General features: G+C 41.0%; 1 protein-coding gene across 1 annotated transcript in view, besides 2 other annotated features; it reads left to right on the top strand.

The window, feature by feature from the left end:
• GRID1 (glutamate ionotropic receptor delta type subunit 1) overlaps positions 1 to 13465 on the top strand; it is a 767244-nt gene that overhangs the window by 86857 nt on the left and 666922 nt on the right. The gene's annotated exons all lie outside the window — the stretch shown is intronic.
• Positions 9621 to 9790: an enhancer, noted in NCBI's record as "experimental_17795 CRE fragment used in MPRA reporter constructs". NCBI's record gives its function as "activates a minimal promoter by MPRAs in K562 erythroleukemia cells, with activity observed for the introgressed 10:88029991 or rs2607857 variant allele {active_cell/tissue: K562}" and the evidence as "EXISTENCE:reporter gene assay evidence [ECO:0000049][PMID:34662402]".
• Position 9705: a transcriptional cis regulatory region, noted in NCBI's record as "Neanderthal adaptively introgressed variant 10:88029991 (GRCh37/hg19 assembly coordinates) or rs2607857 in the experimental_17795 CRE". NCBI's record gives its function as "modulates activity of the experimental_17795 enhancer by MPRAs in K562 erythroleukemia cells {active_cell/tissue: K562}" and the evidence as "EXISTENCE:reporter gene assay evidence [ECO:0000049][PMID:34662402]".

Below are 13465 nucleotides of genomic sequence, written 5' to 3'. Positions count from 1 at the left end.
AGCTGCTGCACCCAGCCTGTATATTAATATCTAGCAATGTTGCTAAACTTACTTATTGGTTTTAGTGCCTTTTTTTAAAGGGTAGATTCCATCAAATTTTCTAAGTAAATGATAATGTCACCTGTGAAGAAAGACAGTTTTGCTTTTTCCCAATTTGGATGATTTTTATTTCATTTTCTTACTTTATTGCAATGGCTGGAAATTCTTGTAAAATGTTAGAAGTGATGACAGTGAACATCCTTTTTTCTGATCTTAGGAGGAAACCATCCTATTCAGTCTTTCAACACTAAATATGATGTTAGCTGTAGGTTTTTATAAATGTTCTTTATCAAATCAAGAAGTTCCTTTCTATGCCTAGTTTGCTGAGAATTTTTATTAGGATTGATTTCGGAATAGTCAAATGCCTTTACCATGTTCAATGAGATGATCATATGTGTTTCTTTTTGGGCTTGGTGATATGGTGATTTGATTGCAAATGTTAAGTTAAATGTTAAATCTTACTTAGTCGTGATGTATTATCATTTTTATATATTGTTGGATTTGATTTGCTAAAGTTTTTGCATCTAAATTCATGAGGGATATTGGCAGGTTATCTTCGTTTATAAGGCTGCTATAACAAAGTACTGTCAACTGGAAGCTTATCAGTAACAGAAATTGATTTCTTACAGTTCTGGAGGCTGGAGGTCTGAGGGGGATACCAATATGGTCCAGCACTGATGAGGGCCCTCTTCTGAGTTGTAGACTGCTGACTTCTTGTGGTACCTTTCCATGGTGGAAAGAGGGCAAGAGAGCTCTCTAGGGTTCCTTTTATAAAGAATTCATAACATTCATGAGAGCTCCACCCTCATGACCCAATTTCCTTCCAAAGATCCCACCTCCTGATACCATCACATTAGGGGTAGTACTTCAACATGTGAATTTTGGGGGAACACAAACATTCAGTCCATTACACATGTGGTTTGTTATTATTATTTCTTGTAACGTCTTTGGTTTTGTTATGGTGGTAATTTTGTCCTAATAGAACAAATTGGGAAGTATTCATTCCTTTACAGTTTTCTGGAGAAGCTATGTAGAATTGGTATCATTTCTTTCTTAAACATGTGGTAGAATTCATCAGTGAGGCCATCAGGGCCTAGAGTTTTCCATGTTGGATAGTTCTTAACTTCAAATTCCATTTCCTTCATAGATAATAAGGCTAGTCAGGTTATCTGTTTCTTCTTGAGTGAGCATTAGTAGTTTGTGTCTTTCAAGGAATTGGTCCATTCTATCTATGCTGATGAGTTTATTCTTATTCATAATATGTCCTTATTATCTTTTTAATACCTGTAGTATCTGTAGTAATATCATCTCTTTTATTTCTGATATTGGTAATTTATGTCTTTTTGTTTTATCTTGATCAGTGTGGCTAGAGGTTTATTAATACTATTGATCTTTGAAGAAAAGCCAGCTTTTGGTTTCCTTGATTTTCCTATTGTTTTTCTGTTTTCTATTTTATCATTTTTTTTGCTTTGATATTTATTATTTCCTTTATTCTATTTACTTTGGGTTTAATTTGGTCTTCTTAAGACAAATTCTTAAAGTAGAAACCCAGGTCACTGGATTGACCCTTTAAAATTTATGTACAATGAAACTTTATCTCTTCTTACAGTTTTGACTTACAGTCAATTTAAAAAATAGTATTATAGCCACCCCACTTCTTTTTTGATTATGATTTGTCTGGAATATCTTTTTCCATCCTTTCACTTTTGAGCTACTTATATCTTTGGATGTAAAATGAGTCATTTACCTTGAATCATGTTTTGTAAAATTTATTACTCCAGCCCCTGTCTTTGGTTGGAGAGTTTAACCCATTTACATTTAAAGTAGTTATTGATAAGAATATACTTACTTTTGCAACTTTACTATTTATAGTTTAACACATTTACATTTAAAGTTATTATTGATAAGAATATACTTACTTTGGCCATTTTACTGTTTATAGTTTAACCCATTTACATTTAAAATAATTATTGATAAGAATATACTTACTTCTGCCATTTTACTATTTATAGTTTAACCCATTTACATTTAAAGTAATTATTGATAAGAATATACTTACTTGTACCATTTTACTATTTGTTTTCAGTATGTCTGTTAATTACTTTTTTGTCCCTCATTTTCTCTATTAATGGCTTCTTTTGTGTTTAGTTGATTTTTTTTGGTAGTGAAACACTTTGATTCCCTTTTAATTTCCTTTTGTGTATATTCCTTGGATATTTTCTTTGTGGTTACCCTCAGGATTACACTTAACATCCTAAATTTATAACAATCTAATTAGAACTGATACCAACTTCAACAGCATACACAACTATGCTCCTATATAGCTTTATTTCCTTGTTTATGTTATTATGACAAATCACATCTTTGTCAATTATGTGCCAATTAAAATAGATTTATAATTAAAAATGCATGTGTTTTTTAAATTATGTAAAAAATAAAAGTAGAGTTATAAACTAAAAATTCAAGAATGGCTTTTATGTTTGCCCGTGTAGTTACCTTTGCATTTATTCCTTCATGCAGCTTTGAGTTAATGTGTAGTGTCCTTTCATTTCAATCTGAAGGGCTCCCTTTGGCATTTCTTACAGAGAAGATCTAGTGGTAAGAAATGCACTCAGCTTTTGTTTATCTAAGCATATCTTAATTTCTCTTTTTAAAAGTTGTGGTAAAATTTATATAACCTAAACTCTACATTTTAAACTATTTTTAAGTGTATTGTTCAGTGGCCTTAAGTACATTCATATTGCTGTGCAGCCTTCACCACCCTCCATCTTGAGAACATTTTAATCTTCCCAAACTGAAACTCTGTACCTGTTAAACAATAACTCTCCATTTTCCTCTCCCCCCGGCTCTTGGAAACCACCATCCTACTTTCTGTCTCTATGATTTTGATGACTTTAGGTATCTTAGATAAGCAGAATCATACAATATTTGTCCTTGGTGACTGGCTTTTTTCATTTAACACAATGGCTCTCTCTTTTGAAAAAGGACAGTATTGCTGGATTTAGAACTCTTGAGTTTTTTAGTTTTTTTTTTCCAGCACTTGAAATATGTCGTCCCACTGCTTTCTGCCTTGATTTCTGATGACAAATTGGATGTCGAATCTTATTGATGGCTGGGTGCGGTGGCTCACGCCTGTAATCCCAGCACTTTGGGAGGTTGAGGCAGGTGGGACACTTGAGGTCAGGAGTTTGAGACCAGATTGGCCAATATGGTGAAACCCCGTCTCTACTAAAACTACAAAAATTTGCTAGGTGTGGTGGTGGGCGCCACTCTAGAGGCTGAGGCATGAGAATCGCTTGAACCCAAGAGGCAGAGGTTGCAGTGAGCTAAGATTGTGCCACTGCGCTCCAGCCTGGGTGACAAAGTGAGACCCCCATCTCCAAAAAAAAAAAAAAAGTCGTATTGAGTATCAAGTGTTGAATTGTGTCTCAAAAAATTCATATGTTGAAGTCCTGACACACAGTACTTCAGAATGTGAACTTGTGAACTTATTTGGAGATAGAGTCATTGCTGATATAATTGGTTAAGATGAATTCATTAGGGTGGGCCCTAATCCAATATGACTTGCATCCCTATAGAATGGGAAAATTTGGTCACTGAGATAAACATATATAGAGGGAAGATTGTGTGAAGAGACATAGGGAGAAGATGGCAATCTATAAGCCAAAGAGATAGGCTTGTAACAAATCCTTCTCTCAAAGTCCTTACAAGGAACCAGCCTTACTGACACCTCCATTTCAGATTTCTATCTTCCAGACTGTGAGACAAATCATTTCTATTGCTCAAGCCACCCAATTTGTGGTATTCTGTTATGACACTCCCAGTAAACCAATGCATTGGGAATCCCTTGTACATGACAAGTTCCTTCTTTCTTTATGCCTTTAAGATTCTTTCTTTGTCTTTGTCTTTCAGTAGTTTGATTATAAAGGATCTCTGTATGGGTCTCTGAGTTTATCTTACTTGGAGTTCACTGAACTCTTTGGATTTTAATTTCATGTCTTTCATCAAATTTGGGAAGTTTTTAGCCACTATTTCTTCAAATATTCTTCTTCCCCTTTATCTCTCTCTTCTCCTTCTGGAACACTCATAATGAGTATGTTAGTCTGCTTGATGGTATCTCATAGGTCATTTAGGTTCTGTTCACTTTTCATCTTTCTCTTTTCTTTCTGATTCTCAGACTTGATAATTTCAGTTGTCCTATCTTTAAGTTCACTGTCTTCTGTCTGTTCAAATCTGCTCTTTAACCCCCTAATGAATTTTTCATTTTGTTATTGTACTTTTTAGCCCCAGAATTTCTGTTTGCTTCTTTTAAAAATTAATGTTAATCTTTTTATTGATTTTCTCATTTTGTTTATGTATAATTTCCCCAATTTTCTTTAGTTCTTTGTCCATGTCTTCCTTTACCACTTTCAGCATATTTAAGACAGTTGTTTTAAAGTTGTTATCTAGTAAGTCTGATGCCTGGGCTTCCTTAGGCATGGTTTGTGTAAATTTACTTTGTTCCTTTGAATGGGCCATGTTTTCTTGTTTCTTTGTGTCCTTTTTTAAAAAAGGACTTCTGAATATTATAATGTGTTAACTCTAGAAAACATATTGTCTTCCTTCCCCAGAGGCTGCTGTTTTTTTTTAGTTGTTGAAGGGTGTATACTTCTTTGTTTAGTAACTTTCTCAAAGATTGTATTCATTGTCTTGTGTGATCACTGAAGTCTCTGATCCTTTAGCCTGTGTTTGGCTAATGTTTTGACAGATAATTCCTTGAATGCCATGAGCTAAAAACAAAACAACAACAACAAACAAATAAGAAAAACAAAAATACCCCAAACATCTCTCTCAGTCTTTGCAGATTTCTCTGTGCTAGGGAAATCCTTCAACACTTAGCCAGGCTGGCATTGTGCCTAGAGATTAGTGTGCCTACAAGACAGGGATGCCCTCTCTCACCACTCCTATTCAACATAGTGTTGGAAGTTCTGGCCAGGGCAATTAGGCAGGAGAAGGAAATAAAGGGTATTCAATTAGGAAAAGAGGAAGTCAAATTGTCCCTGTTTGCAGATGACATGATTGTATATCTAGAAAACCCCATTGTCTCAGCCCAAAATCTCCTTAAGCTGATAAGCAACTTCAGCAAAGTCTCAGGATACAAAATCAATGTACAAAAATCACAAGCATTCTTATACACCAATAACAGACAAACAGAGAGCCAAATCATGAGTGAACTCCCATTCACAATTGCTTCAAAGAGAATAAAATACCTAGGAATCTAACTTACAAGGGACGTGAAGGACCTCTTCAAGGAGAACTACAAACCACTGCTCAATGAAATAAAAGAGGATACAAAGAAATGGAAGAACATTCCATGCTCATGGGTAGGAAGAATCAATATCATGAAAATGGCCATACTGCCCAAGGTAATTTATAGATTCAATGCCATCTCCATCAAGCTACCAATGACTTTCTTCACAGTATTGGAAAAAACTAGTTTAAAGTTCATATGGAACCAAAAAAGAGCCCGCCTTGCCAAGTCAATCCTAAGCCAAAAGAACAAAGCTGGAGGCATCACGCTATCTGACTTCAAACTATACTACAAGGCTACAGTCACCAAAACAGCATGGTACTGGTACCAAAACAGAGATACAGATCTGGAACAGAACAGAGCCCTCAGAAATAATGCCGCATATCTACAACTATCGGATCTTTGACAAACCTGAGAAAAACAAGCAATGGGGAAAGGATTCCCTATTTAATAAATGGTGCTGGGAAAACTGGCTAGCCATATGTAGAAAGCTGAAACTGGATCCCTTCCTTACACCTTATACAAAAATTAATTCAAGATGGATTAAATACTTAAACATTAGACCTACAACCATAAAAACCCTAGAAGAAAACCTAGGCATTACCATTCAGGACATAGGCATGGGCAAGGACTTCATGTCTAAAACACCAAAAGCAATGGCAACAAAAGCCAAAATTGACAAATGGGATCTAATTAAACTAAAGAGCTTCTGCACAGCAAAAGAAACTACCATGAGAGTGAACAGGCAACCTACAGAATGGGAGAAAATTTTTGCAACCTACTCATCTGACAAAGGGCTAATATCCAGAATCTACAATGAACTCAAACAAATTTACAAGAAAAAACAAACAACCCCATCAAAAAGTGGGCGAAGGATATGAACAGACACTTCTCAAAAGAAGACATTTATGCAGCCAAAAAACACATGAAAAAATGCTCACCATCACTGGCCATCAGAGAAATGCAAATCAAAACCACAATGAGATACTACCTCACACCAGTTAGAATGGCAATCATTAAAAAGTCAGGAAACAACAGGTGCTGGAGAGGATGTGGAGAAATAGGAACACTTTTACACTGTTGGTGGGACTGTAAACTAGTTCAACCATTGTGGAAGTCAGTGTGGAGATTCCTCAGGGATCTAGAACTAGAATTACCATTTGACCCAGCCATCCCATTACTGGGTATATACCCAAAGGACTATAAATCATGCTGCTATAAAGACACATGCAGACGTATGTTTATTGCAGCACTATTCACAATAGCAAAGACTTGGAACCAACCCAAATGTCCAACAATGATAGACTGGATTAAGAAAATGTGGCACATATACACCATGGAATACTATGCAGCCATAAAAAATGATGAGTTCATGTCCTTTGTAGGGACATGGATGAAATTGGAAATCATCATTCTCAGTAAACTATCGCAAGGGCAAAAAACCAAACACCGCATGTTCTCACTCATAGGTGGGAATTGAACAATGAGAACACATGGACAGAGGAAGGGGAACATCACACTCTGGGGACTGTTGTGGGGTGGGGGGAGTGGGGAGGGATAGCATTAGGAGATATACCTAATGCTAAATGTTGAGTTAATGGGTGTAGCACACCAGCATGTCACATGTATACATATGTAGCTAACCTGCACATTGTGCACATGTACCCTAAAACTTAAAGTATAATAATAATAAAAAACAAAAACAAACAAACAAACAAACAAAAAGAGATTAGTGTGCCTAGAGAAAGCTTAGGGTCTTCTTATTTCTTTTCTTAGCATGCATCTTGCCCTATGCCTAATGTAGCTTTCTAAATTCCTCAGTATAAATAGGTACTTTTGAGTGTACCACTTTCCCAAAGAATGTTCCAAGCTATTCCTCACAGGTCTTAGGCAGTCTATTGTATGTCTCAACTGTGTCTTTTGTCCCAAGTGTCTTTGAGTTGTTAGTTTGCTTTGCAATGTTGTGAGTAATGCCTGTCACTTTTTGGTCTAAGTTCCAAGTTAGGGGGAACATAGAAGAGTGTCTTGTATCAATCCTTCAGGTATCCCTCAGACAGCCTATAACAGATAGTCACAATAATTTGTGAATAATATCTGCTCTGCTCCCTCTAGAACTAGAGATGAAGGTCTTATATTGGGAACATGGGATGGCACTTCAAGATGGTACCACTTCAACATAACATCATGCTGGGGGAGGGATGGGGCATGGGCAAGTAAAAATGCCACAATACCTTCCTAAAGTTGCCTTTTTCTTGACTAAGTGTTCTCTTGGTTGCTGTAAACCTTTGACTGTTTTCCAGAGTTTTGACAAAGTTGGCTCTGGCAGTTTCTGCTTTTTTTATTTGTTCATTTTTTGAATGTTTCTGTAGGAAGATTAGAACTTGGAGCTGTCTACTCTGCCGTTCTCCTCCACCATCATTTTTGAAAGATTTTTTTTCATGGTATAAAAATCTAGGTTGATAGTTTTTCTCTCTTTCAATACTAAAGATGTTTCTCCATTGTCTTCTATTTGTATTGTTTCTGATAAGAAATTTACTGTCATCCTTATCCTTGTTCCTCTGAACATAATATATTTCTCTGGCTGCCTTTAAGATTTTCTCTTTATCTTGATTTTGAGCATTTTGATTATAATGTGTCTTGATGTATTTTTCTTCATGTTTCTTGTGCTTATGATTTCTTAAAATTTTTGCATCTGTGCATTTATGGTTTTTGTCAAATTTGAAATTTTTCATGAATTATTTCTATAAATATTTTTTCTGTTTCCTCCCACTCTCCTCCCCTCTGGGACTCCAGTTACACATATGTTAGACCACTTGAAGTTGTCCCATTGCTCACCAGTATTACTTTCTTTCTTCTTTTCTCTTTTTTGATTATTTTTCTGTCTGTATTTAACTTTGGATAGTTTCTTTTTCCATGTATTTAAATTTGCTAATTTTTTCCTGCTGTATCAAATTTGACATTAATCCAATTCAGTTTATTTTTTAAATCTCACATATTGTACTTTTCATCTCTAGAAGCTTGATTTGCATCTTATTTTAAATCTTCCATGTCTCTACTTAACGTTTGAACATACGGCATGTAGTTATAATGACTGTTTTAATATCTTTGTCTTCTAATTCCAACATCTGTTTCAGTTGTGGTTTGATTTTGATCGATTGATTTTTTTCTTCACATGGGTAAATTTTTTTCCTGCTTCTCTACATACCTAATCAGTTTTGATTGGATTCCAGACATTGTGATGGATATTTTTGCATTCGTAGAAATATCCTTGGGCTTTATTCTGGAATGCAGTTATGTGGAAATAGTCTGATCCTTTTGGGTCTTGTTTTTACTATTGGCTAGGCAGGACAGAGCTACTACTACTGAGGCAGGACCTTTCTACATACTCTACCCAATGTCCTGTGAATCATGAGGGTTTGAAAACAGTCACTGTTCTTGAGAGTACCAGATACTATTCCTTCAAATCTTTTGGATGATTCTTCTCCTGGCTTTGGGGCGTTTGCTCACACTCTGCTGAACACTTGAGTGGGAGTTTCTGAAAGCTCGCCAGGTGTCTTTCTCTGTGCCCATCACTCTTCTCTGGTACTCTGTCCTGTGAACTCTGGCAGCCTTTGTCTCTAGACTCTGAGCTCCAAATCTGCAACTCAGGACATCTGCTAGACTCTGCCTCCTGTGTCACCTTGGGAAGAAAGACAGCTGAAGAAATTGTAGGGCTTGCCTTGTTTGATCTTAGCCTCTGGAATCACTGTCCTTCATTGCCTTCTCTCCAATGTCTTGAAAAACCATTGCTCCATATATTTTGCTCATTTTTTTATTTGGTTATTCCATGAATAAATTCTGATTGGCAAACTAGATTCCTCTTACTTTAGCTGGGTTAGAAGCAGAAGTACAAATTGTTTTTATTATTATTATTATTTTTTGAGACGGAGTCTCGCTCTATTGCCCAGGCTGGAGTGCAGTGGCACAATCTCGGCTCACTGCAACCTCTGCCTCCTGGGTTCAAGTAGTTCTCCTACGTCAGCCTCCTGAGTAGCTGGGATTACAGGCACGCACCACCACACCTGGCTAATTTTTGTGTTTTTGCTAGAGACAGGGCTGCACCATGTTGGCCAGGGTGGTTTCGAACTGCTGACCTCAAGTGATCCACCCGCCTTGGTCTCCCAAAATGCTGGGATTACAGGCATGAGCCACTGCGCCTGGACCAATTATTATTATTTTTTAAATAGTTGTATCTGAGCTCATTTAATGATGGAGGGAATGGAGAGAATGAAGGGTGGGGGTGGTAGAGAGGAGGCAATTGTTGGAGTGAGGTGGATAGTGATTTAATGATTTAATCTGCTACTGATCACTGTTCTGTGCCAGGCTGCAGTGGGTACTGAATGGAACAATGCATAGCCCCTGCCCTCAAGGAGGCCACAGTCTGAAGGGGTGAGGGAAAGAGTTTATCATTGTTTTAATCAGAAGATTCGGCTGCTCAGACAAAGCAGATGTTCCATGTTTCCAAACTATTAAGAATTAGATTCATTTAAAATGTTTTCATTGAATGCAATTATAAACGCTGTTCCAGGAAGACCTACAAATAAGGATAGATTTGTTTAGTATTAAGGGAAGGGGATGTTTAATTCTGTGAGGGAGGCTGTAGAGAGGAGCTTGGGTCAGAAGACTCATGTGTGAGCCCTGTAGACCCCTTCCCTACAGGGGGTCTTAGTGCCCGTAGTACAGTGAAATGGGACCTTGTATTACAGGCATCTTTCAGGGTTTCCATGGAGTACACCTAGGCGATGGTCAATAAATGTGGGTCCCATATCTTAGAGGGCTTAGAGGGACAGCAAAAAGCAAAAAAGCAAACAGGATGTGCCCCTACCTCCAAGAAGTTGCTGCCAATCTGCCTCAGAAGTCCAGCTTGGGAATTGAGACTAAAGGGGAGTGAAAGCAGCCCTAGATGGGGCCTGAGGAAAGGGCCAGCTGTGACCAGGGAGGATGAGAGGAAGGACTGAGAACCAGGAGAGGCAAGAGGCCGAGGCCAAGAGAACTCCTAATTAGCCAGGGGTCAATGTCAGCCAGTGTGCAGAGGCCGAGGCCAAGAGAACTCCTAATTAGCAGGGGTCAATGTCAGCCAGTGTGCAGAGCCAGAAATGGTGTCTCTCAGAATGTGTGTGGGTGAAGGGGCAAGGGAGCTGGGTGCATAACTTGGAGTATTGGCCTCAGTGAGGCCACACAGCAGGAGCTGGGGCCTCTGTGTGCCCTGTGTGAGTGAGTGTCATCTTAGATACAGCCTATCCTCAGTTACCTGGCCGTGCTGGAGCCTGCCCAGTCCAGGGCTTGGGACTCAGGCCATTTCATTCTGCCCCCACCCCTCCAGGCATCTTGGAGCTAATCAAAGGTTAGCCACCCTGAGCAATGGAAAATTCTCAATGTTCTAGACACTTTTTATGTGATGTCTGTGCTCCTGTTATTTTAAGAATGCACTGGGAGGTAGGTTTTGTTGCACCTACTTTAGGATAAGGAAACCAAGGTTCACAGAGGTGAAGGGGTTTGTCCAAGGTCACAGACGTGACTTAGCTTGGATTTGAACCCAAGTCTGCTTTCCAAACCCCAATCTTTCTTTTCATTTTTTTTTGAGACAGAGTCTCACTCTGTCACCCGGGCTGGAGTGCAGTGGCGTGATCTCAGCTCACTGCAACCTCCGCCTCACAGGTCAAGCAAGCCTCCTGCCTCAGCCTCCCAAGTAGCTGGGACTACAGGCATGTGCCACCACACCCAGCTCATTTTTGTATTTTTAGTAGAGATGGGGTTTCACCATGTTGACCAGGCTAGTCTCAAACTCCTGACCTTAAGTGATCAGCCCGCCTTGGCATCCCAGAGTGCTGGGATTATAGGTGTGAGCCACTGCGCCCGGCTCCAAACCCCAATCTTTCTAACATGCTTCACGTGCCTCTTACTTTTTCAGATTTCATCATGTGGTTATCATAGGGACATATCTGGCACTAAGCCTATGTAGAAAGCCAGCAAATGGTGTTGGTGGCCTCCTATTCGAGTCCCTGACCCTTGTGCTGGCCTGGATGCTGCAGGAAGCATGGTTCTCTCACGCCTTGCATGGGTTCAAATGGGCTAGCCCCCGTGGTAACAAACAACCCCCACACTTCAGTGACTGATTCCTTGCTCAGGCTGCATGTCCATCACGGACGGTCCTGGGCTATGCTCCCTGCCATCCTCTTCCTCCAGGAAACAGGCTGACAAGCAGCCAGTATCCAAATGCTGTTGGTGATACCGGTAGAGAGGAACCGGGAAGCTGGAACCAGCTTGGAAACATCTGCCGGGAAGAAATGCTTATCACACGGCTTCCATTTTATTGGCCAGAGCAGGTCCCTGGCAGGCCTAGCTCTGAGGAGTTGGGGAGCATACCGGGTAGCAGTTAACTATGGATACCCTGAAAGCTCCCATCAGTGGTGACTTTCAGATGCCCCGTGTGTGTCTTTCTGTGCTGAAACTGGGGCTGCTTGGTGGAGAGGGGCCCCTCCAGAAGCTTACTGTCTAGGGAAGGGACAGTTATAACCCAGGAAAGGTTTGCCTCCGGGTAAGATGACTGTGCATGACACAGGCGAGCACCGGGCTGTGGGTGCGCAGAGCAGTGACACATTCTTCACAGGGAGAACTGCAGAGGCAACAGTGTCTGAACCCCCAGTTTGAAGCTAAGAAATCCCTAGTGAGGTGCAAGAATGGAAGGGCCTCTGCAGTTTGAGGGACAAAGTGTGAAAAGGTTCAGGGATGAGAGAGCACAGTGCTGGGTGCAGGCTAGTGGCCTGTGTCTCTGGAGCTCTGGGGACCTATGGAAGTGTGTGGGCAGAGGAGGAGGCTGGAGAGCTGGGCAGGGCCAGGAGTAAGGCTTTCTTCATTGTGGGTGGGATGTCATGTCCCTTTTGTTGTCTTTCAGCTGAGCCATGGCCGTGGAGTTCTGGCTAGTGGGTGTGGTGGGCACTCGGAACTGCCTGCCCAGAAACTCCAGCAAGGGCCCCGTCCCTGCATGCATCTATCCAGCCTGGGTGGCTCTAGGCTGCATTCACAGGTCTAGACCCTGCTGTTCACCCTGGGGGGATGAATCAGCTTCATTCTTCCTGAACAAAAGCTCCTGGGTTGCCAGGGAGATGTAGGGGCTGCCGCCTGTACTTCCTGGAGCTGCAGTTTGGTGTCAGGAAGAGATGGGCACTCAGCAGCCCCAGGGCGGGGCTGGGTTGAGCTGCCATCACCGCTGTTGTCCTTGTTGAATGGGACCGTATGTGGATCAGAGACAGCAGAGCCTCTGAGTTTGCACAGATTTGGGTTTGAATGTGGCTCTGCCCATTGATGGCTACATGACTTTCAGCTGCAAGCTGCCCTTTTGAAGCCTGTTTCCTCAAATTGAAGTTGGGATGATAATATCCAGCTTGCAGGGGCTGAGATATTTCATGAGGTAACAGTTGGAAGGCATTCCATCTATTCATTTATTTAATACATGTTTGTGGCTGTCTGCTGTGTGCCAAGCACTTTCCCGGGGTGGGAATCCATGCCGTGACGTGATGCTGACGTGGCCCTGTGCTGAGTGGTCAGCCTGGCTGGCACCATGCTAGGCACACAGAGAGCCTCACTAAATGGTATTTACTCTTGTTCTTGGGGACAGAGGCTCTGTGGGGATAGGGGAAGAGTCCTCCTTGGCTTGGTGTTTGCCTGGTCTTGGGCATTTTGGGGAAGTGGAGGGGTAGGGGGAGTCCCACTACCCAATCCTATAGCCCGGCAGGAAGTAGTAGGCCTCATGAGAAAACTCTGGGGACTTAAGCTCCATGCTGCCTGTGAATCCCAGGGTTCAGGGGACCAAGAGGGTTTCCTAAGCCTGTGAAAGCTGCTGCAATTGGTGTAGAGGCCACCATGGAGCCACAGTCCAGGGGCCCAGTGGGCCTTTTCTTATCTCTCTTGCCAGGCCACAGAGTAGGTTCTGGAGAATTGGGCCTGGCGGCTCTGAGCTGGGCTGACACTCATCACTGACCTGGGATCATGGGAGTTGGGCAGGAGGGCCCTCCCCTGGGAAAGAATCCTCTCATCTGACTGTGGTGTGTAAAAGATCAGGAAGCCTCGAACCAGATTAGGGCAGGGCTGGGGACA

The sequence above is a fragment of the Homo sapiens genome, chromosome 10 (assembly GCF_000001405.40).
Source record: "Homo sapiens chromosome 10, GRCh38.p14 Primary Assembly".
Taxonomy (NCBI): Eukaryota; Metazoa; Chordata; class Mammalia; order Primates; family Hominidae; genus Homo; species Homo sapiens.
The sequence above is the reverse complement of the archived record's forward strand: the minus strand, read 5'-3'. Positions and strand labels throughout refer to the sequence as shown.